The 21,806-nt window shown below is 50.4% G+C and overlaps 1 protein-coding gene across 4 annotated transcripts in view, besides 2 other annotated features; it reads left to right on the forward strand.

Moving 5' to 3' along the window:
• TBC1D21 (TBC1 domain family member 21) overlaps positions 1-17,640 on the forward strand; it is a 36,461-nt gene extending 18,821 nt beyond the window's left edge. For 2 of the 4 annotated variants that reach the window (XM_011521281.4, XM_047432198.1), the window contains one exon: positions 17,267-17,640. In XM_011521281.4, coding sequence (XP_011519583.1) covers positions 17,267-17,374 — 108 coding nt within the window. In that variant the 3' untranslated portion in view covers positions 17,375-17,640. Of the gene's footprint in view, positions 1-8,611; positions 8,663-14,857; positions 14,903-17,266 lie in introns of those variants that run through there. The other 2 variants (XM_011521283.3, XM_011521282.3) reach the window with 2 other exon arrangements.
• Positions 9,928-10,429: an enhancer, noted in NCBI's record as "H3K4me1 hESC enhancer chr15:74194653-74195154 (GRCh37/hg19 assembly coordinates)". NCBI's record gives its function as "activates a minimal SCP1, AML or CMV promoter by ChIP-STARR-seq in primed H9 embryonic stem cells {active_cell/tissue: H9 hESC(primed)}" and the evidence as "EXISTENCE:reporter gene assay evidence [ECO:0000049][PMID:30033119]".
• Positions 16,000-16,119: a silencer, noted in NCBI's record as "silent region_6640". NCBI's record gives its function as "represses an Ori minimal core promoter by ATAC-STARR-seq in GM12878 lymphoblastoid cells {active_cell/tissue: GM12878}" and the evidence as "EXISTENCE:reporter gene assay evidence [ECO:0000049][PMID:35858748]".
• Positions 17,641-21,806: the final 4,166 nt, after the last annotated feature.

Raw genomic sequence — 21,806 nt, forward strand, 5'->3', positions numbered from 1 at the left:
GAGAAGAGAGGAGAGAAGAGCTATAGCCTTTTGGGGATCCCAGACCTAGGAGCTCCCCAAGCCAGGGCTGTGACATCGTCTTTGGGGCTCTGTGGTTCTTGGTGTCTCCAAGCTTCCATGCACCGCTGCGTTCCCTTGTGCCAGCCATGGATGCTGTTTGTGGTACTCCTGGTCCAGCTGCAGCCAGCACCCATACCAGCATCTGGAGCTGCCCCTCCCACCACAGCTGGCATGCTTGGCTGTCTGTGTGCAGTGGCCAGACCCCACACTCATTCGTTCACACACACTTCAACACTCCATGTCTGGCTCTCCCTTGGCAAGTGTGGGCTCCAGGCCAATAGTGCGAGCCGAATGCCTGCCAGGCTGAGTGGGCAAACAAGCCCAGTAGGCCCGAGCAAAACTCAGGCAAAGGCGTCACTGTCCACACAGGTTTCAAGCTGGAAAGGAATACCTCAAGAATTCCATGACAATAACACAATAATGTCAGTGATGATGGCGGTGATGGTGATGGTGATGTCGGCGACGTCAGTGATGGTGGTAGTAATGTCAGTGATGGTGGTGAAGCTAATTATATGGCGGTGTTGGTGGCAGAGGTGTGATGTCATTTATGATGGTGGAGGTGGTAGTGATGGTGACATCAGTGGCAGAGGTGATATAGAATCTGGTGGTGGTAATGATGTCATCACTGGTGGTGGTGATGATAGTGCTGACTTTTCATTCTGCCAACAAAAACTGACTGTCTCTAATGGTACTCCTTAAATAGTGCCAGAGGAAAAGATGAGATTCAAGGAAGGGACTGAAGGGGATTGCAGTGGGGAGGGCTCTGATATTGATGATGGTGTTGGTGGTGAGGGCAATCATGGTGGAGATGAAAACAGTGACTAATTCATTCTGAAAAAACTAGTGCCCAGCACACTTCCAATGAGCAAGGCCTAGACATAATATCTTTAAATGAATCACCGTGGCCATGAGCATAAAGAAAATGGAAGCAGCCAGGCCCCATCCAAGCTTTCCAAAACTTGGTCCTGAGCCAGATATGAAAGCTTGGATTGGATTGGCTGCATTTCTTCCAAGCTCTCACCCTCACCTCTCTTTCACTCTTCTTCTAAGCCTCTTCCCTGGAGAATTCATTCATTTATTCCTTCTTCTCTGGCTACATTGAATGACCCCAAGGCCACTTTTTGTTCCTGGAGTTAGGATAATAGCTCTCTACCCACTAACAACTGCACAGAGGCACCGTGGATAAAACTCCAAGTTCTCTGGGCCCCAGGGTCTGTGTTACCCCCCTCAGAGAGGAAGAAAGAAGGTGGGCTTTTGCACCTACCCTCAGGCTTGCCAGCAGAACCGAGTCCTGGCCTGAAGCCACCAGACCTTTGGTCAGTGGGGAGGAAGGGATACTCCCTCCTTTCAGGAGGAAGAACATAGCTACTAGGAAGGGCCTCCACTGCCCAGGACCCAACCCCAAAGGACAGCTGGTGGGCTGGAGCTTCAGGAGGTCACGAACAAGGGCACGTGACCCCTACCCTCACAATTATACAGAAGCTGTACTAATTGGGTAATTAATATGTTCCACGCCTTGTGCTAAGCACTCGCATGCTTTATCTAACAGAATCAGAATTCTGATTCTGATTTCACCCTCATGACTGAATTCAAACTCAGAAACAGGTGCAGTCATTACCCTCTCATTACCAGCGAGGAACCTGAGGCACTGGGTTACACAGCTAGTGATTTGCCAAGTCCGGATGTGAATGCTGATGGGCGAACCCCAGGGCCCCACTGTTATGCCATGGTATTGGCTCTTGGGCAGCTTCCGTTTTCACCTCTTTCCCTGCCCACAGCCTCACTTGGCGTCTGCCATCCTCCCGCAGCCCACACTGAGTCTCCTGTCTGGTCCTCTGCAGAGCAGGCCCTCATCTCACAGGCCACCCCACCCTTGGCAGCTGAAGCCCCACCGATGGGCCGAGATGGTCCAGGGCTGGATGACAGGGGTGGTGTGTGCAGGAAGCTCTGTCCTACTTCCCTCGTCCCTCTCTATGCCTTCGATTACCCCAGTAAGTGTGGGAGGGCCCAGATGCAGCCATGTTTACTGCATCTTGTTTTGAAACAAAGCTCTGAACATTCCTTGTGCATTCCTTCTCCAGGATGGGGAGTGGGCTGGGGGTCTGGGGTTGCAGGAAGTCAGTCTGCAGGGGTGAGTGTGGGGACCCAAGATGGGGCTGGCAGGTCCCGCATGGAAGCAGCAGCAGCAAAGCCTGGGCAGCTGGGGTGGGCCAAGTGTTGTGAGGGGAGAGGCGCGCAGCTCTGGGAGACAGGGTGGAGGAGGGCTGTGCAGGAGTAGCCTCTCTTTCCTATCCCTGCCCCTGCCGACCTTTCTCTGGACCAGCCCCCATGGCAGAGACCCCCTGGATGGAACAAGACCAAGGCAGAGAGGAGGGAATTTCCAGTTGGTGCCAAGTGCCATCAGCCACACTGCTCAAGAGGGAAAAGGACTTATTTCTGGGACCTCAAACAAAAGCACTAGCTCCACTGTCCTGCCAGACCCTGGTGCTCGCTGAGCTTGTAGTGGGGAAGAGATTCACAACCAGAAATGAAGGAGGCTGGTGGCAGGCACGGGAGGGCGGAGTCACAAGCAATAGCATTTAGTCTGGGTGCACATTAGAATCACCAAGGGAGCTTTTTAAAAATAACCAATTCCCAGGGCCCACCAATTAAACCAGCATATCTAGGGGTGGGGCCAGGGCACTGGTCTTTTTCAAAAGCTCCCAGGTGGTTCTAAAGTACGGTCAGGAATGAGAACACCTGAGTTCAGAACAGGAGTTTAATGAAGGGGGATTAGTGATCAGCTGGTTTGACTCCTTCCTTCCACTTAGAGGGAGTTCAAGGAAGTCCTCACAGTGAGTGATTACGGACCAGAGAGGACAGGAGTGACTGTGCAGGGCACTGTCCAGGAGCAGAGCTTGTCTCCGCAGTCGATCTCCTGTTACTCTCCTTCCTGGACCACACCAATGGCTGCCCTCTTTCCAGGAGCTCTGGAATAGACCTCCCTACCCTCCCATCTTAGAGCCCTTCAGCTGACTGACTCTAGAATTAAGCATTCCAAGTTCTATTCTGAGCCGGCACATAAAAGAATTTCTTTAGGGAGTTAGTAAGAGCCAAAGTCTCAAAAGTCTGACCCTCACCTGCAGTGATATGCAAATTGTACCCGAACACCGGTAGTGCAGCATTCAGAGGCTGGGAGCAAATAGGATGCAAATGTATGCAATCATTATGCAAACAAGGGCAGCCCAGATTAATGGCCTCAATCTTTCAACTAGACAGCAGCTGTCTCTTTACGTACGGGCATGGCTGACATAGAGGACTGAATTGTCTCCTGTCAGAAGCATCCTGAGGAAGGGTCAGCTCTCAGGTCAAGAGGAGGGATTGTTCGGACACCTGGCTTGCCGATGCTCTGCTCTGAGAAATCTGCGCAAAGATGTCTGTCAGCCAGGCAGGATATTCTTCTCTGCCCGGGCTCCTCACTCAAGTCCCAGGAACAATGCTAGGCACTGAACTTTGTGGGGAGAGTAGTGGTGATAGGGATGATGGAGGTGGTGGAGGTCATGGGAGAGGTAATGGTGGAAGTGATAGAGTTGGAAATAGTTGAGAAGACGGCAGAGGTGGAGGTGAGGGTGATGAAGTTCCTGGTAATGATAGTGACATGAACAACAGAGATAATGGCGACAACAGAGGTGAAAATGGGCTTGGAGGAGATGAGAGCCATGGCGGTAGTGAGGACAAATATAATGGAGGTACTGGTAGTGGCAGCAGTGGTGACAGCGATAGTGGAGGTGATACTGGATGTGATTCTGCAGATGAAGTGGAGATGACAGAGGTCATGTTAGTGGCAGTCATAGTGGAGAGGATGGCAATGCCGAGGTGAGGGGTGGAAGTCATGGCGAGGAGGAAAATAGTGACGCTGCCATCACAAAGGATAGAAATGATGACAATGGCAGGTCGTGGTGGTAATGGTGAAGATCAAGGTGGCGGCTCAAGTGCTAGAGGCCATGGTAGAGTGGTGGGGGCAATGAAGGTCATTGTAGTGACCAGTATGAGATGAGGGTAACGGAGCAGTGGCGGAGAAGATGAAGATGATGGTGGGGGGAGTTGGTGACAATGAGTTCTCAAAACTCCTAGCTCAATAGGAAAGGGGGCTAGAGAACGTGGCGGAACAAAGGCACAAGGAGGGGCGGTAAACTTGAATAAGAGATACAAGGTCTGTTGTGTTGGGGAGAGGAAGCGTGAGGCCCCCAACCACAGGCCTAAAGAAGGCTCAGAGGCAACACCAGACTTCTCTCTCCTTGGCAGACTCGGTATGCACTCCAGTTTAACTCAGTAAGTGGGGTAGGCCTGAAGTCTGCCAGTGATCAGTGGGATGGCCTGAGATTGGGGAAATCCCAGCCCCCATTAGTCCTCAGTTTCCCCCTCTGAAATGGAGGACAACATGAAGTCCCAGTGCATGCCCCATGGCTGACTAGTGGTGCATGTGTAGTGGAATGGGGCTGCCATATGTGTGTGGGGTAGGGGTGATGTCAAGATGTCAAGAAATAGCCCATGATAACTGGGCTGGGGAGATATTGACAAACGTCTTCTCAGGGCAACTCAAAGCAATGGCCTCTTGTCACTTCCATCCCATGGCTTGGATCCTCTCCATTTCTCCATCATCCCCACCTCATCTTGGTCGCCGCACTGAAGGTCACCAGAGCTGTTTCCCTGAATGTCCTCACACCTCTCTTTCCCTCCTAGAAGGCCAGACCCTAAGTGGGCTGCAGTGTGAATTGGTTAGTCCTTGGACTCTGGAATCGGGCCCCAGGTAATAGTTGTGTGACCGTGGACAATATACTTAACCTCTTTGAGCCTCTGTTTTCTCACCTAGAAATTAGAAATAACAATACCTGCCTTACAGGTTGTAATATGGCTATGTCTATGATGCATTTAGCCCAGCAAACTTCGACTCAAAGAAATGGTAGCTGTTGGAAAGCCACAGAAGTAGTCAGGTTCAGAATTAACAGTTACTCTGTAACCCAAGAAGCTGTAGCCACAGGAGAGAGGACCTCTGCAGGATCTGTGGCTTCCCACAGCCACAAGGTGCAGCCTCCAGGGTGAGCCACCTCCTCTTTCCTGTGGAGCCTGCACTTGCGTGTGCCAGCCTACAGAGGGCGCTCCTCCTCCTCCACAAGCCCAGGACTCCATGGGGAGGCCTGGCTGCCCCAGGGACCAGGCACCCTGCCCAGGTTGCAAGAGTCCTGGGCAATCCCTGTGCTCTGGGGCAGAGGTGTTGCCGAGAGGGAGGAAGCCTAACTGGCTGGCCCAGAGCTGCTTTGGGTCTGAAAGGGGGACAGGGAGAACTCTGTTGTTCATGGCTCTCAGAGGCCCTACGCCTTGTACTCTAGCTGCAAATTTGATGGGGAAGGAGCCTGGGACCAGGGGAGCCTCGGGTTTCCCCGGAAGCATTTCCCAGCAGCCCTAGGACCCTGTGAGCAGGTGCAGTGGGACCCACGCGCCGCCTCTACTCCTCCTTTCCTGGCTGGGAATCCTTCCTGCCCCCCAGCACACACACACATTCTCAGTGTAGTTCCGTGTGATTCACTGTGAGTGGTCATCATCATGGCCCGCATCATGGCCTGAGGAGAGCAGGGACCTCAGCTGAGTCATCTCCCCGAATGGTAATGAGGGCAGTCTGGAGAGGATCTGTCCTTCAGCCTCCTCCCTGGGTTCTCGGTCTCCAACCCCTCACCATGCGCAGGCTCACCCAGGGAGCTGCTGCTTCACCAGCAGGGAACTGCTCTGCCTCACCAGGCCCGTGTGGCACAGGGTGCAGCTGTGCAAGCCATGCCCTCTGGCCACAGGGCAGGTCATTAGGCCAGCACTCATCCCCTGCCACGGTCAGGGCTGTGTGGGGCTGGAATCAGAGGCCTCCTCCGTTTCCTCAACCTGATTCCTAAACATTACCTGTTTCACTGTGAAAAACCATCCACGGACCTCTCCTGTGGTTTTCTACGCCCAAGACCAGCAGTGTTCAGTAGAAACAGAATGTGAGTGAACCACAATGTATTTTAAAATTTTAATAGCCACATTTAAGAAGAAAAAGAAAACAGGTGAAAAAAATGTGTTTAGCCCAATATATTCATAATATATTCATAATATATTGTTTCAATGTGGGCTGGGCACGGTGGCTCATGTCTGTAATCCCAGCACTTTGGGAGGCTGAGGTGGGCGGATCACTTGAGGTCAGGTGTTCAAGACCAGCCTGGCCAACATGATGAAACCCTGTCTGTACTAAAAACACAAAAATTAGCCAGGCGTGGTGGCATGTGCCTGTAATTCCAGCCAGTTGGGAGGCTGAGGCAGGAGAATCACTTGAACCCGGGAGGTGGAGGTTGCAGTGAGCCAAGATTGCACCACTGCCCTCCAGCCTGGGTGACAGAGTGAGACTCCATCTCAAAAAAAAAAAAAAAAAATATATATATATATATATATATACACACACACTCATATATATACACACATATATATAGTTTCAATATGGACCCAATATAAAATAATTAATAAAAATTTTACCTTTTTTGGCACAATGTCTTCAAAATCTGGCATATATTTTACACCTTTAACACATTGTAATTGGGAACAGCAGCATTTCAAATGCTCAGAAGCGCGTGTGGCTAGCAGCTCCCATATTAGACTTCACTAGCAATTGTTAGCTCCTGGTACCATCTTTACAGGCAGGTGAGTCTCCTAGGAGCCTGAAGTAGCCGTGGCCGAGAGGTCTGATGAGCTTCAGTTTCTCTACCTGAGAGCCCAGCCCTTGAGAACCTCCTGGGAAGCGGGTGAGCCTTGCTCCATGGCCCCTGGCTCACAGCTGGATGCACCCTCAATTCCTGACCTGAGGGCTCCCGCTCACAGGAAGCTGCCATCTGGTGCAGTCCCTCTAGAGGACAGAAGAAGGTTCAGGAGGCGCCCTCCTCAAATCCAGTCCTCCGGGTCATTCAAGGCCCCAGGCTGCACTCCCAGAGCTCCTTGCCCTGGGCCATGCTCCCACTTGATGCCAGGGCTGTGCTTCCGCTCTGTGTGAGGGGAACCTGAAAGGAAAGTTAACATTTAGATAGTGGAAAGGAGAGAGTAAGGAAGGAGATCCAGGAAGGCAACAGTCTGGCCAAGGGTCTGGAGGTGGGAGGTGGCGGGACAGGAGATGACAGGGAGCCCAGGCGGAATCAGAGGAGAGAAAAGAGGAACAGCCGTCGCCCTTGGAGAGGGGTGTGTGTATGAACGCTAAATGCCGAGCCTGGACAGAATGGAGCCATAGAAGTCTCTGAGCCAGGGAAGGAATTCAGTGAGATCAGGATTTGAGGCACATTAGTCTGGGGGCTGTACAGAAAGGACTGGGAAGGGAAAGATGAATGGGAAAGTAAGTGGGGTAATTAAAAACATAGGCAGGAACGCAGAGCACTTGGACCTTCTGTGGTTGGCCCCAGGGAGCTCAGCCTGGGATGCGGGCCTCTGTGCCAGAAGTCTGCACAGGGGACTGGGCCAAGGGCTTTGAGGTGGGCAGCCCAGGAGTCCTGGGGCCCCGCCCCCTCTGCCTGTCTCCAGGAGAAACTGGACAGCTCCCACAGAGGGACTTGCAGAATCAGTGGTTTCTGGCGATGTGACTGTGAGTTGGGTGTGGGTTTGCTTCTCCCTCCTATACATCCATCACCACCCGTTCTCTGCCCTGAATGCCAGGGTCTGAGGGCTGAGCTGCCAGCCCTGGGCTCCTGCAAAGCCAACATATAATTCCGGGCCACTGAGAACCCAGGCAAGACTTTTGTGAGAATGAAACAAGACAGGCCCCTCTGCGCAGACACAGCCTCTTGGCAGATGGTGCCTTCGTGCTAAGCAAAAAGTGCCCGGCGCGGGCTGGGTTTCAATCCCCACCACACCCTTGGCTGAGGCCTGGCACACGAACCATGTAACCATGCACGGCAGTCCTGCATAATTCCCAGTGCTGGGGGAAATGGTATGAAAGGGGTGAGTCATACTTGAAAACCACAAGGCACCAGAGAAGAGACCTTCATATGAGACCCCCTACCTGTCCTGCTTTCTCCTTCTCCCCTGGACCAGGGGCCCAGAGCTACTGGGGGACTGGGCAAAGGGAGGTACAGCAAGAGCAAACTCGCTGGATCCAGGGAGTCATAGCAGCAGAGTCTCAGGCCCAGGCACAAAGCCTGCATACATCTCTCTCCTGGAGCCAAGTGAGAACAGTCCTAGGAGAGAGGCAGGACAGAGACTAGAGTCTTGTTTTTAAAAAAACTGAGGCCAAAAGAAGTTCAGTGGTCTATTCAAGATGATGCAGCTAATAAGTAAGGGTGGACAATGAGAGGCAAAGTCACAGGGTAGCGAAGAGGCATCAGGCAGACCTAGGAAGAGTCCCAGCTCTGACTCTGAGCATTCATTGAAGTTCTTCAAGTATCAGTCTGCTCATCTGTAAAATGCGGCTAATAGCTACGGTTATTCCTAGGATTAAAGACAGCAGTGTATGTAAAACACTTAATGACAATTATAGAAACTGGGACTCAAAGCCCAATTTCTTGCCCAGGGAGAGATGTGGATGCATTGCAGAATTCCTCAATAGATCAGGAAGTCCAGGATGTTAGAAAGTTGTCGAACTACCAGGCCCACAGAGCAAAGAAAGAAGATTCAGAGAGATGCACCTTCCACAGCTCTGGGGATGCGTAGCTGTGCCTCCGAGGCCTGCTTCGGGACCAAGGTGAGCATGGCCGAGGGCTCAAAGTTGAGTCCCTCTCCATGAACTGCTCTTGGCCAAAAGGAGCTGCCCCATTTAAAGCCACATCCCCTGCACAGGGAAGCCTCATCCAATGATTGTGTAAGTCCCTGGGCCAGGCTCTCTTGCCTCAATCTGGGGTAACTCTGCAGGCCACCACAGCCCTGGAGCTTCCCAGGGAATCACCTGCAACTGCCCACCTCTGCTCTTCTCTCCCCACAGGTGAGGGGCATGCCCCCAAGAGCACTCCTCATGCAAATGCCCATGTGCACATCTTCATCAGAGTCTGCTTCCCAGGTGTATTGTTTCCATGGCTGCTGTAACGAATTACCACAAACTTGGTGGCTTAACGTAATGCACATTCATTCTCTTACAGTTCTGGAGGCCAGGAGTCTGGAATCAGTTTCACTGGGTTTGAGTCATGGTGTCATCAGGGCTGGTTCCTTCTGGAGACTCTAGGGGAGGATCTGTTTCCTCACCTTTTCTAGCCTCTGGGTGCTGCCTGCATTCCTGGGCTAGTGGCCGCTTTCTCATGTTACTCCAACCTTGCTTCCATTGTCACATCTCCTACTTCCTCCCCTGACCTTCACCCAAATAATCCAGGATAATCTTCCCATCTCAAGATCCCTTTTTTTTTGTTTGTTTTTTTGAGGTGGGTCTCACTCTGTCACCCAGTCTGGAGTATAGAGGCACCACCATGGCTCACTGCAGCCTTGACCTCCCAAGCTCAAGCAATTCTCCCACCTCAGCCTCCTGAGTAGCTGGGACCACAGGCATACACCACCTCACCCAGCTAATTGTTTTTATTTTTTTGTAGAGATGGGGACTCACTTTGTTGCCCAGGCTGGTCTCGAACTCCTGGCTTCATGCAATCCTCCTGCCTTGGCCTCCCAAAGTTCTGGAAATTACAGACACGAGCCACCGCGCCTGGCCAAGATCCCTAACTTAATTACATCTGCAAAGTCACTTTTGCCATTCACAGGTTCTGGAAATTAGGATGGGGATATTTTGGGGGACTATTATTTAGCCTACCACACCGAAGAACCTAACCAAAGAAAGCAGCTGCCTGCCTGCCGTGGCCCTCCTCATTGCCTTCCAAGCATCCTCTTGTTGACACCTCCCCAGCAAGGGCAGTCTCACTCCATCACAGGACGGTAGGAGGGGTCTGGCTATGGAAGGCCTGTCTCTGGAGTCAGTGAGCCCTATCGGCCTGAGGGTGTGTGATACCCAGCTATAAGGAAGGCTTAAGCAAGCTGGAAGCCTTTGAAATCCAGAAATACCTGTCCCCTCTTTTCTCTGCCTCTCAGCCTATGTCACATTTCAAGACTTGGCTGCTGCAAGAAGCCTTCCCCAGAGCAGACAGAACAGCTCCCTCTTCTCCAGCCTCCACCATGCTCGATGGTGGCACCACTGGTGCCCACCCCACAGCCCACTGCATGCATCTGTCATTGCATGCCTGCCTCTCCCCTCGACTGTGCAGTAGGTCTTTCTCATTTTCCCATCCGCTCCATGCTTAGCATGGGGTCTGCTCCCCTGGAGAGCAGAGACCTTCTCTGCTTCCAATCAATCAAATAAATGCTTGTAGAACTGGGTCATGCCGAGCCAATCCACAATTCCCAAGGAGGAAGACAGAAGTGTGAGGTGTCAGCTGAGTGCCCTGGTGGCTCAGTCTGAATCAGTGCAGGCTGGGATGCCCTGGGGAGGCCCCCCTCTACATTTCCATCAATCCGGGTCGGGTCTGGCAGCTGGTGGGGTGACATGCTGCTGCTCCCGCAGGTCTGCCTGCTTGTCTCCCTGGCTCAGAGCAACTCCATAACCAGACCCAAGCTCACCTGTTCACCAGTCCCAGCGACCGTGCAACAGTTTTCCCATTGTCCATACTTTTCAGAGTAGTCCATAGTCTCTGTGTGTCCTTCTCTCTTATTCTCCCTGTAACTCGCTCCCCTTTATCCCACCAAAACTGCCCTCCTGAAAATCACAACCACCTCTGTGCTGCCCAGTCCACAGGACACCACTCAGTCCTTACCATAACAGGCTGCTGCCGCCTCCTGTCCTGGCACCCATGCCTCCGGCTTCTGCATCTCTTCATGAGAGAACTATCTGGCCTTGGACCAAAACTGGCCCACATGGAATATCAGGGGGATTCACACCCCAGGAGCAGCCCTTGAAGGAAGGGCGGGGAGCTGGTGGATACACACCCCAGATTTCCCACCCCTCAATGGGACAAGTCTGAGACCTGTTCTGTACACTCAGAGGGTCCACAGGGGGCTGAACCTCAGTGTTCCACAGCAGTAGCTGCTGGGTAACTCTTATCTACCTTTTTCTCTTCCCTGTCTCACTTCCCTACTCCCTCACATGCTGCCTGGGATCATCTTCCAAACAAACAACTACACCCAAATCCTTGTCAGAAGGCCTGTTTAGTGGGGGCAGGGAACCAACCTAAGGCAACATATTCAATCATGGTACTCTCCTCAATGCCAATAAGAAAAGACCAGGCCCCTTCACTCAGTATTCAAGACCTCAGTGATCCTGCCCTCGGTCTGCCTCTTTGACACCAACTCTTACCTTTTCCAGCCTCAAATGTATATTCTGGGCTGGGCACGGTGGCTCTTGCCTGTAATCCCAGCACTTTGGGAGGCCGAGGGGCTTGAGGTGAGGAGTTCGAGACTGGCCTGGCCAACATGGTGAAACCCCTTCTCTACTAAAAATAAAAAAAGTTAGCTGGGTGTGGTGGTGTATGCCTGTAGTCCTAGCTACACAAGAGGCTGAAGCAGGAGAATCACTTGAACCTGGGAGGTGGAGGTTGCAGTGAGCTGAGATCACGCCACTGCACTCCAGCCTGGGCAACAGAGCGAGACTCCGTCTCAAAAAAATATATATATATATACTCTGGCAACACAAAATTTCTCATCTGCTTTGTGACTTAGCCCAGGCATTTCATCTAGGAAGTCTTCCTTCTAAGTCTAGAGGTCAGTGAGTCCTTGGGCTTCCTGCCCCATCCTAAGGTGAGCACTTCTATGAGTCAGCCACAAGGAAGAACTAACCAGGTTGGAGTGGGCTGTTGGCCCAAAGTCGAGCTCTATAAGGCTACAGTGGGCTGCTCTGTAGCCAGCCATGTGTGCACTCTCCCCAGCCCCCGCAGGCATGCAGGAAGCCCCTTCTTGCCTAGTGGTGTGCTGAAGTCAGCTTGCACTGGCTCAAAAGAATGAAACTTGTGCACCTCTTCCAATTCTGCATTCAGTGGCATTATGCGGGTTGTCTGAAATCGGCTATGGCAAGAGTATTTACACCACAGAAATTGGCAATTGCTACAAATCAGGGGTTTCATTTTCTTCAAAGAGTGACCATGGCCTCCCCTCCCGCCATGTGCCATAATCCTGAGTATGTCTATGGGTTCATAGTACAGGTCCCAGGTCTGAGGCAGGGCAGAATCAGCTTGGGGGAAGGGGTGTTGACTGGCAGCATGGTGCCAAGATAGATGTGGAGCCAGGGGTCAGAGTGCAGCTGGGTGAAGTGGAAACCAAAGGAGGGACGAGAGGAGCTCATGGGACTGGGGGACAAAGGCCAGGGATGTGTGTGTAGAAAAGAGAGAGACTCCAAAAGAAATGGAGAGAGACAGCAAGGAAGAGACACGGAGAGAAGAGTAAGAGAGACATGGAGACACAGACAAAACAAAACACACAGATGGAGGGAGGAAGACAGAGTGAGACAGCAAATAGAGACAGAGGCAGAAACAGAGAGCGAGAGACAGCTTGAGACTGGGAAGAAATGACAGAGTGGAGGAAGCCAAGGGCAAAAATAGAAGAATTTAGCGACAAAAACACAAACTGGAGAGTGACAAACAAAGACCGTAGCAGCAGAGGGGGCCCAGGAGGGTGCAGCCCAGGCCTAGCTGGGGCCCACGGTGCATGAGGCAGCTTGCAAGAGAGGCTCAGGGCCCACTTAGGACAAGGCCTCCCACGCCCTCTAGCCCCAGCCATCATGTGAATACCTCCTTAGGTGTCCATCAACTACTTGAAGATGTGAATGTTTGATTGCTTCTCCAATTTAGGCATTAAATCCCTCAGTAATTCAATAATGCATTGTCCAATTACTCACATGACACGCAACTTTAAATTAGGAAAAAATATTTAGACAATTCAATTGCTAAATGATCTGATTGTTTCTGAAATTCCCTCATAATGCTCCCTTGAGTTATTCTCCCTTCTTAAATCAACCTGAGAAAGGGATGTGCCGACTCAGCAGTCTGTTTCTTGGCTCTACCTGGCTGAATTCAGTACAACCTTTAGATTAGAGTCCCCGGATTCAGGCACTTTACCTTGTCCAGTGGTGTGCTGAAGTCAGCTTGCTGGAAAAAAAAGAAATTTTCACACCTTTTCTTAATTCTGCATTCAGTGACATCATGTTGATAGCTTGAAATTGGCTGTGGTGGGAGTATTTACACCATGGAAATTGGCAACTGCTACAAACCAGGGCATTTTTTTTCTTTAAAGAGCCACCACTGCCTTTATTCACCTCCCATTCTCCCACCAATCTGTGGCCCCCAGGTGGGATAAAACCCTGAGCAGATTTGTGGGTTTACAGCATTTGCTCCAGGGCCCAGCTGGGAGCCTCCCTAAAGGGGCAGAGCAGAATCAGTTGGCTTGGAGGTTTGGGAGAGTCAACTGAGCAGCATAGGACCAAGCTGGGAATTCCAGGGCCCTTCCCTGGCCTCTGTCCCAGGGATCATTGTGCCTCCCCATCAAGACAGCACAGTCTGGAACAAAGAGCTCCTGCCTGAACATTGGGAGAACTCAGGTATCACTCGGTGTCGGTCAAGGAAACCCAGGCTCTCAGCAAGGGACTGGCTCCTGGTCACCAGCAGGGTGGATGGGATGGGCATGTCTGCTGGGCTTCAGTTTCATGTCCCGTTTTTCTAAGCTGCTCACACTCAAGAGTCCCAGAAAGTTTGTTGTGCTACTTCTAAATAGAGAAAAGTTTTGTCTCCATAAATTTATACTCTCCACTGCCTTCCCAGGAAGCTGAGTTCTGGTCACAGGTGACCCTTTGTGCTGCCATCTTGAAGGAGCTGGGTAGGCAAATTAGGGACAGGAGGGGCTAGGGAAGTGGGAGACGTATGTGGGAGGAGGTCGGGGAGAGGCTGGAGAGAACTATGGAAGAAGGATTTCATGTGTCTCCGTGGGGTATGAGACCATCTTCTGAATCTTCCCACCCAAATTGTCAGTATACTCAACCTTGCTCCCTGATGTCTTTGAGTGAATGGAATCTGGAGTGGAGAGGGTGGTGGCAGTTTGGAAAGAAGGATGAGGGACCAGCCCCACTGGTTACATGTGGAGAGGACAAGGTACACGGAGGAGGAAGGCAGGCCTGGCAGAGCTCAGATATCTGTGGGAGGAGGAGGCAGGTTCTTGCCTCTCTCTTCCTCTGGGAAGCAGCTTGTTTGGGAAATCCAAGCCCAAGTCCATCCAGGGCAAGTGCCTCGATTTTCCCTTGAGAGGAAGAAAAGGGCTTTCCTGACCCAGGAGGAGGAGAAGACTGAGGTCAAGTCAATCAAAGGGACAAAGCTAACCCCTATGCCATCAAGAATGTATGTGCAGTGCTGAGTACTATTTTTTGGATCTGAGTTGTGCTGAGTGTTGGTTTACAGAGCTCCAGAACCCCCAAGTGTAGAATGACTCATTCACCGATGTCATGTGTGTAGAGAAGAGATCTGCAAGCCTGGAAGATTCACCTCTTCAGGCTCTTGTTCTCTGTCCCACCAGCCTAGTAATATGGGCAGGTCTTAACTTTATAAAGAGGCCCCACCAACCACAATTCCATGCAAAGCTTGCTGCAGAGACCCAACTCTGAGGGTAAGGACCCCAGGCCAGACAGCAGACAACTGGGCATCTCTCTTTCTCTCTCATTTCCTCCTCCTCCTTCTCCTCCTCTTCCTCTTCTTCCTCTTCCTCCTCCTGCTCCTCCTCCTCTTTTTTTCCCCCAGTCTGAGCCCTCACTCCCCACCAGCTAACTAGCCCAGAGCAAGCAGCTAAATATAGTTCCTTATTCTTTGACTCGTAGAAATCAGCCACAAACTGTCTGTCAACATGAATTTCTCAGCTCAGTTGTTCTAGCCATGAGCAGCTGCTGCTCCTGATACTTCACCGGGCTGCTCTCAAGTTCATCTTTGGTGGGGTCTGCATGGAAGGAAAACACAAATTTGAGAGGGCAGCTTTAGAAAGTGTGAAACGGGCATAGACTTTGAAATTGGAGAGACAGGAACCAAATCTTAGCTTGACCACTTCCTAGCTGTGTGATCCTCTGCTGGCTCAATTATTGAGCTCTTACTTAGATTCTGGGAGATGCTCTAAGATCTTTCCAATAAATTCTCATTTTTGCTCAGGCTAATGTGAGTTGGGCTTCTGTCACTTGCAAGCTGAATAAGAACTTGCTTCTCAACCCCTTGGGTCCTCTGCTGATGGCCTCTTCCATCCATCCTCACTCACATGTTCCATTCCCACATTTTGTAATCTCTTACCCCTAAAAAGTTCCAAAGCTGTTTTCTTTCTCTTTTACTTTTAAGAAAGATTTTTTTCAAGTGTAACACACTTACTGTATAGTCTCAATTTGTTGGGGTATAGACGTGAAATTGTTTTCTAACTTCCCTGAGCCTCACTGTCTTCATCTGTACAATGGGACTACTATTGCCTGGCTCACAGGACTGCTAGTACGGTCAACCAGGAGCCTAGATGGAAAGCTTCTAGCCCAGGCCTGTAACAGTGGGAGGGCTGGGTAGCTGTCCATTCCTCTCCCTATGTGGAAAGTTATTCTTTACCTATCAAACAGTAGAACAGAGGCTAGAATTATAATGCCTGCCCCCAGAAAGTGGCTTTATTGAGATGTACAAAATATTCTACATTAATTTTTATTTCATTCTCACATTTATTGAGATGAACAAAATCAGTGTTATGGATTGTTATAGACACAGTATCTGTCCCTGTGCCCTGACCCTGACTGTGGGGCTGTCAAATGTGCTTCCTGGGGAACCAGATACACCAGACACACCACACACACACATAAACACACACAGGAACACATGAAGCCAAGCAAATTCAGAGACAATTTGATGAGTGTAACACACACACAGGAGGGTATATGCACATTTGTGAGTGCACTGCAGGCCCATGGCTGGATGAAGCATGGGAAATGGGGGAATCCACAGGGCGCACGTAGCCCGCCAGTCCTGGCTCTCAGCGCTCTCCTTCTGGGCCAGGCCTGGGCCATGCTTGTGTTGAGAGGCTTTGGCGCCCTCTGCTGACTGCGGTCCTCCCTGCAGCCCTCTCCAACCTAGCCAGAGCAGGTGCAGCAGGCCCAGGGAAGCCAGGCGTCTAGGAAGGGGGAAAACCAGAAGGGAAGAGACTGAAAGGAGGTAAAGAATGGAGGGAGAAGAGAACCAGAGCCTATACTGTCCCCAAAGCCACCAGGATGGAGGACCCAGCTATGCAGCCACTCACTGACCACAGCAGCTGCTTACAGACAGGAGCATCACCTCCCAGGTGCTCATGATGACTGTCTAGAGACCCTGTGGTGGCACAGCTGGTGGTGTGAAGGGCACAGGCCCCAGAAAGTTCCTCAGGCTCTGGCTGTGATGCCTTGTAAGTCCATGTGGCAGAACCATCAACCAGACCAGTGAACTTTTCCACCTCCTCTGGGAATGCCCAGGGCCAGACCTTCAATCCTGCAGGCTAGGGAGCTTGATGATGGCAAACATGGACTTGGGAACCAGACTGACCTAGGCAGAGTGCCTGCACTGCCTCTCACTAGCTGTGTGACCTTGGGCTCCTAACCTCTCCCTGTCTCTGCATCCTCGTCTGCAAAGTGAGGGGAGTAAGACAGCTGCAGTCAGGATGAAATAAAAATCCATGTAAAGGCCAGGCGCAGTGGCTCACACCTGTAATCCCAGCACTTTGGGAGGCCAAGGCAGGCAGATCACTTGAGGTCAGCAGTTCGAGACCAGCGTGGACAACATGGTGAAACCCTGTCTCTACTAAAAATACAAAACTTAGCTGGGTGTGGTGGCACGCACCTGTAGTCCCAGCTACTCCAGAGGCTGAGGCAGGAGAATTGCTTGAACCTGGGAGGTGAGGTTGCAGTGAGCCAAGATCATACCACTGCACTCCAGCCTGGGCGACACAGCGAGACTCCATCTCAAAAAAAAATCCACATAGAGTGCAGCCCAGGGCCTGAGGCAAAGTGCATAATAAATGCTAGCTACTAGCATTACTGTTGTGGTGGTTGTTGCCCTTGCCACGGGCTTCACGAGAGATGAAGGACAGAGTTTCATCAGGGCCTCTGCAGCTGGCATGACTCCTGGGAAGTGGAGGGAAGGTGGGATCATCAGAATCTCATGTTTGCGTAAGGCCATGATGTCAGGCTGTTAGATTCCTGTTAGGAACACCTGTCCCAATTGTCTGACCTTCTTTCTTCTAGGGTGGCATAGCCCTGTTCCTCTGCAGGACTCATCACAGCCAGGGAGGCCCCTCTTCTGGTGTTTTCAGACTCAAGGACACCGAGACTCACTTCTTTCTCATGACATAACCTCCAAGTTACAACACTCAGAAGCTGTCAGTGGTCATATTTTCTGTCTTAGACAAAACCAGTCTTCTGGGAAAAGAACAAATGAGGCTGATCTGCAGCAAGAAGCAAAAACAAGAACCTGGTGGGGCTGCTGTGGCTTGCAAATCCCTGGTTCCAGATGTCTCTAAGGCCCACCCACATCCCCGCCCCTCTGCTGGCTCAATTATTGGGCTGTTTCTTAGATTCTGTGAGATGCTCCAAGATCCTCCAATAAATCCTCATTTTTGCTCAGGCTAGTGTGAGTTGGGCTTCTGTCACTTGCAAGCCAGAGAACAAGGACTAGCTTCTCGACCCCCTGGGTCCTCTACTGAAAGTCTCTTCCATCTATCCTCACTACCCACATGTTCCCATCCCACATTTTTGCAATCCTCTACCCCTAAAAAGTTCCAAAGCTGTTTTCTTCCTCATTTAAGGACTTTTTTTCAAGTGTAGCACATTTTTTGTAGGGCCTCAATTTGTTAGGATGTAGACGTGAAATTGTTAATAATCTCCCCTCCAACACACACACACAGTCAACTGTGCTCTATTGAAATCCCTTTCCTACTGGGTGGTAGGGATCTTAATGACATCGTGGCTGCGTCCCACAACTCCGCCGTCACTTTCATCTACTAGAACTGTCTCATTTCGTTAATCAAGACTTCCTGTTTGTCTCTCCTGCCATTCCCACTTCTGCCCAGATGAGAGTGGTGACTGGCCCTCCCCCACCAACAAGGCCACAATGGAGGGGAGCATCCAGCTCCAGATCCGCCTCCCTATCACTTTTCTAGTCTCTCAGTGACTGCGGGGCCAGGAGAGGGACTTGGAAGCAACTCTCACATGTCCTCTCCTAGGTGGATTGTCACTGCTTCTCTGGCTACTCCACTCCCTCCTCTCTGCCCTGGTGACTGTCTCGTGGACAGCCTGTGCATTCTCTCAAGCCCTAGAGAGACGCCCTCATGGGTGGGACACCAGCTTGTCCACTTGAGCCCAGCCACCTCACACAGCTCTCTCTCTCCACTCCACCATCTGTCTTGTATTGCCCTCTTCCCCAACTCAGGCAGCTCAGAGGTATACAAGGGGGTTCACAGACTAAGCAGATGCCCCCCTGGGGGATGGTATGCTTGTCTCTCCTTACAAGAAATTATCTTATGTTATCAGGGAGGAAAGGCACCCACCCCACCCATCATCTCCCGTGAAGAGGGGAGCAAGCAGCCTCTACCACAAACACTGCCCTCCCCACATGGCAACCGACCATTCCATCCCCTGCTCCTCTTCCAGTCACTGTGGGAGGTGGTGGTGGTTGATGAGAGAAGAGCCATCAGCCCTGCGGGAGGGAGATGGTACTAGCTGCTGACCACCCACTGACAACCCTCTGAATGCAGAAGGCAGGGTCCCCAGTGCCTTTTGTACTCAGCTTTGGGTGTTAGCTGCAATTCCAGAACAGGAGGAAGAGTCCCACACAATATCCTGTTATGCTGGTGCAGAACTCTCCTCCCTCCCAGATCCCAGCTGAATTGATCAAAAGACTAGGAAAGAAGAGAACGCCTGTTGGCCTGGACTGAAAGCCAGAGAAGGTACATTCTCGTGCCAGGAAAGCTGGGGATTGCTGTAAAGTGTGCAAGATACAGATTAAAGGAAGACCTCAAGGGCTGATTCACAACTCCAATTCTTGAGAAAGCAAAACTATACTATGAGAAGTAGATGAGGTCCTGGCAGAATGTACTGACCCTAAATTAGGGCAGATGGTGGGACACGGGGCTTGCAGGGCATCTTTGGAAAGCCCTTTCCATACTATCAACTGCCTTGGGAAGGAGCTGACTGGGAGGTGGGCTGGGGTGGGGGTATGTGGTTGCCATGTCAAGTAGGTAACTGAGCTGGGTGGGGTGGGAGGAGTTCCTCCCTCAATCAGGTTCTCTCTAATACCGTGTTCCTCCTTTCCTGTTAGTGGGGGCAGAAGTCTTATCATAGCTATGTTGAATACCTACAGGAACAGCCAGGAAACCCTGGACGCTGGGCAAATAGACCTGGCCCTTGGTGCAGAGGAGGCAAGGTTACCTGCTGGACCTGGCCCCAGCCAACTCCCACACAGTTGTCCCAGCTAGATCCCTGAGCTGGTAATGGCCCTTGGACGCTCTACCTGGAGTGGGGAAAGAACGGAACACTTGCACACAAACACACACACAAACCTGCAGCCAGCTCAACTACTGGCTGGTGCCTCTGGTGACAAGTGGGGAGACATGTCACAGACAGTTTGTGTTCATAGCCAACTGGTGATGTGAAATTGCATTAACCAGTCCTAAAATATGACAGGACAATTGGAGCAACATCCAGACGAAGGGTGACCTAAAGAGAATCCATTTCCTTCTCCTTGTTTGGGGGAAAATAGTAAGATTTTATAAAACACTCACTTTTAGCTCGGTGCGGTGGTGCCTGCCTGTAAATCCAGCTGCTTGGGAGGCTGAGGCCAGAGGATCACTTGGGGTCAAGAGTCCGAGGCCAGCCCAGGCAATATGGTGGGACCCAGTCTCTAAATAAATAAATTAAAAAAAAATAAAATTAAAAAAAGTTTAAAACACTCATCTTTAAAGTAGGAGTACAGAGAAAAGCAAACACACACCCCCACACACAAACCCACATGCACACACATATACTTGGAAATACACAGAGCCTTTGAAAAGACTCTGCATGAGGCAAGAAGAGAACGTGGCCCTAAAAGGGCAGAGAAAAGTAATTCCTTTGAAAAGATTTATCACATAAACATAAATAACTTGCAGACCACATCTGTTCTGTACGCAATTCATTTAATTAAAGTGCGCACTCTAAGAAATGAGAGTTGAAAAATAAGATGGAAAGAATGAAATGAGAAGGCTGCTGACTGAGAGGCAGGTGGAAATCAAAAACAAACCAGAGGAGAGAAGGAAAGACTGCAAAGAAACTAAAAATGCAGTAGAATTTTAATTTCCATCAAGATGGTAAAGAACAGAATTGGAACTACAGAAAATGGAATCTGTAAATGTGAAGGACAGATAGGAGAAGTTCTCTGAGACTGCAGAGGAAAAGCACAACAGGATAAAAAACAGAGAGACAACATGATAGGTATCCGGGCTTACAGAAGACACTAAACAAATGAAATAAAAGCAAGAATCACAGGAGAAAGATGTCCCTGAGCTGATGAGAAGCCTGGGCTTATACATTTAAAAGATTCCTCCTTAAGTCAAATTAATAAAAATAAATGAACACTTAGAAATGCCATGTAGAATTTTCAAATTGCAAGGGTAAAGAAAGAATTCTATCAGCACCCATGCAGAGAGAAATATGGAGAAATATCTGCAACATTCATTTTTGTTGTTGTTGTTGCTGAGACCGGGTCTCACTTTGTGGCCCAGGCTGGAGTGCAGTGGTGCGATCACAGCTCACTGCAGCCTCAACCTCCTGGGCTCAAGTGATCCTCCTGCCTCAGCCTCCCAAGTAGCTTGGGACTACAGCCATGTATCACTATGCCCAGGTAATTTTTTTGATTTTTGTAGATATGGGGGTCTCACCATGTTGCCTAGGCTGGTCTTGAAATCCTGGGCTCAGGTGATCTTCACACCTTGGTCTCCCGAAGTACTGGGGTTACAGGTGTGAGCCACGACACCCAGCCCAACATTTCTTAAAGTGTATAATTGGAAGAGAGAGTCCATGGAATTTTGTTAACTATTTGTACTGAGGAAAAAAGTTTCTGTCATAAAATAAGCTTGGGAAATGCTGAATTAAACAAAACAAGATAAAACCCTATGCTGAGGCTTTCTCAGGGCTTTTAACGTATTCATGCATGTTATTAAACTGGCAATATTAGCAAGCCCAGTTTTCCAAACTTATTTGACTATGAAATCCTTTGCCATAGACTATGTGGTAAGACTGGTGTTCAATAGAACACACTTTGGGAACCACTCTTTTACAGAATTTTGAGAGATCAGTTGTGACCTTACATTTTAACAATTTGCCTGGTGCAATCATGCATGAAGACAACAGAAAAAGACTTTCCCACATGCCAGAACTTAGGACACATGCCATGTATGGCTCTACTTTTCACGGGGAAAAAGGTACTCAGAGATGCACTCTTTCCAAGCCAGCAAGAGTCAAAGTAAGTAAAATAATAGTAAGTGAAAAAGCAAGTCCTGGGCTGCAATTCTCAACTTTGGCCCATATAAAGTCTCTAAATTAAAAAAAAAAAATCCAGGCTGGGCAACATGGCAAAATCCCATCTCTACAAAAAATAAAAAATAAAACATTAGCCAGGCATGGTGGCATAAGCCTGTAGTCCCAGCTACTCAGGAGGTGGGCAGATTGATTGAGCCAGGGAGGTCAAGGCTGCAGTGACCTTGACCTGCACTCCAGCCTGGGCAACAGAGTAAGACCCTGTCTCAAAAAA

The sequence above is a fragment of the Homo sapiens genome, chromosome 15 (assembly GCF_000001405.40).
Source record: "Homo sapiens chromosome 15, GRCh38.p14 Primary Assembly".
Classification (NCBI taxonomy): Eukaryota; Metazoa; Chordata; class Mammalia; order Primates; family Hominidae; genus Homo; species Homo sapiens.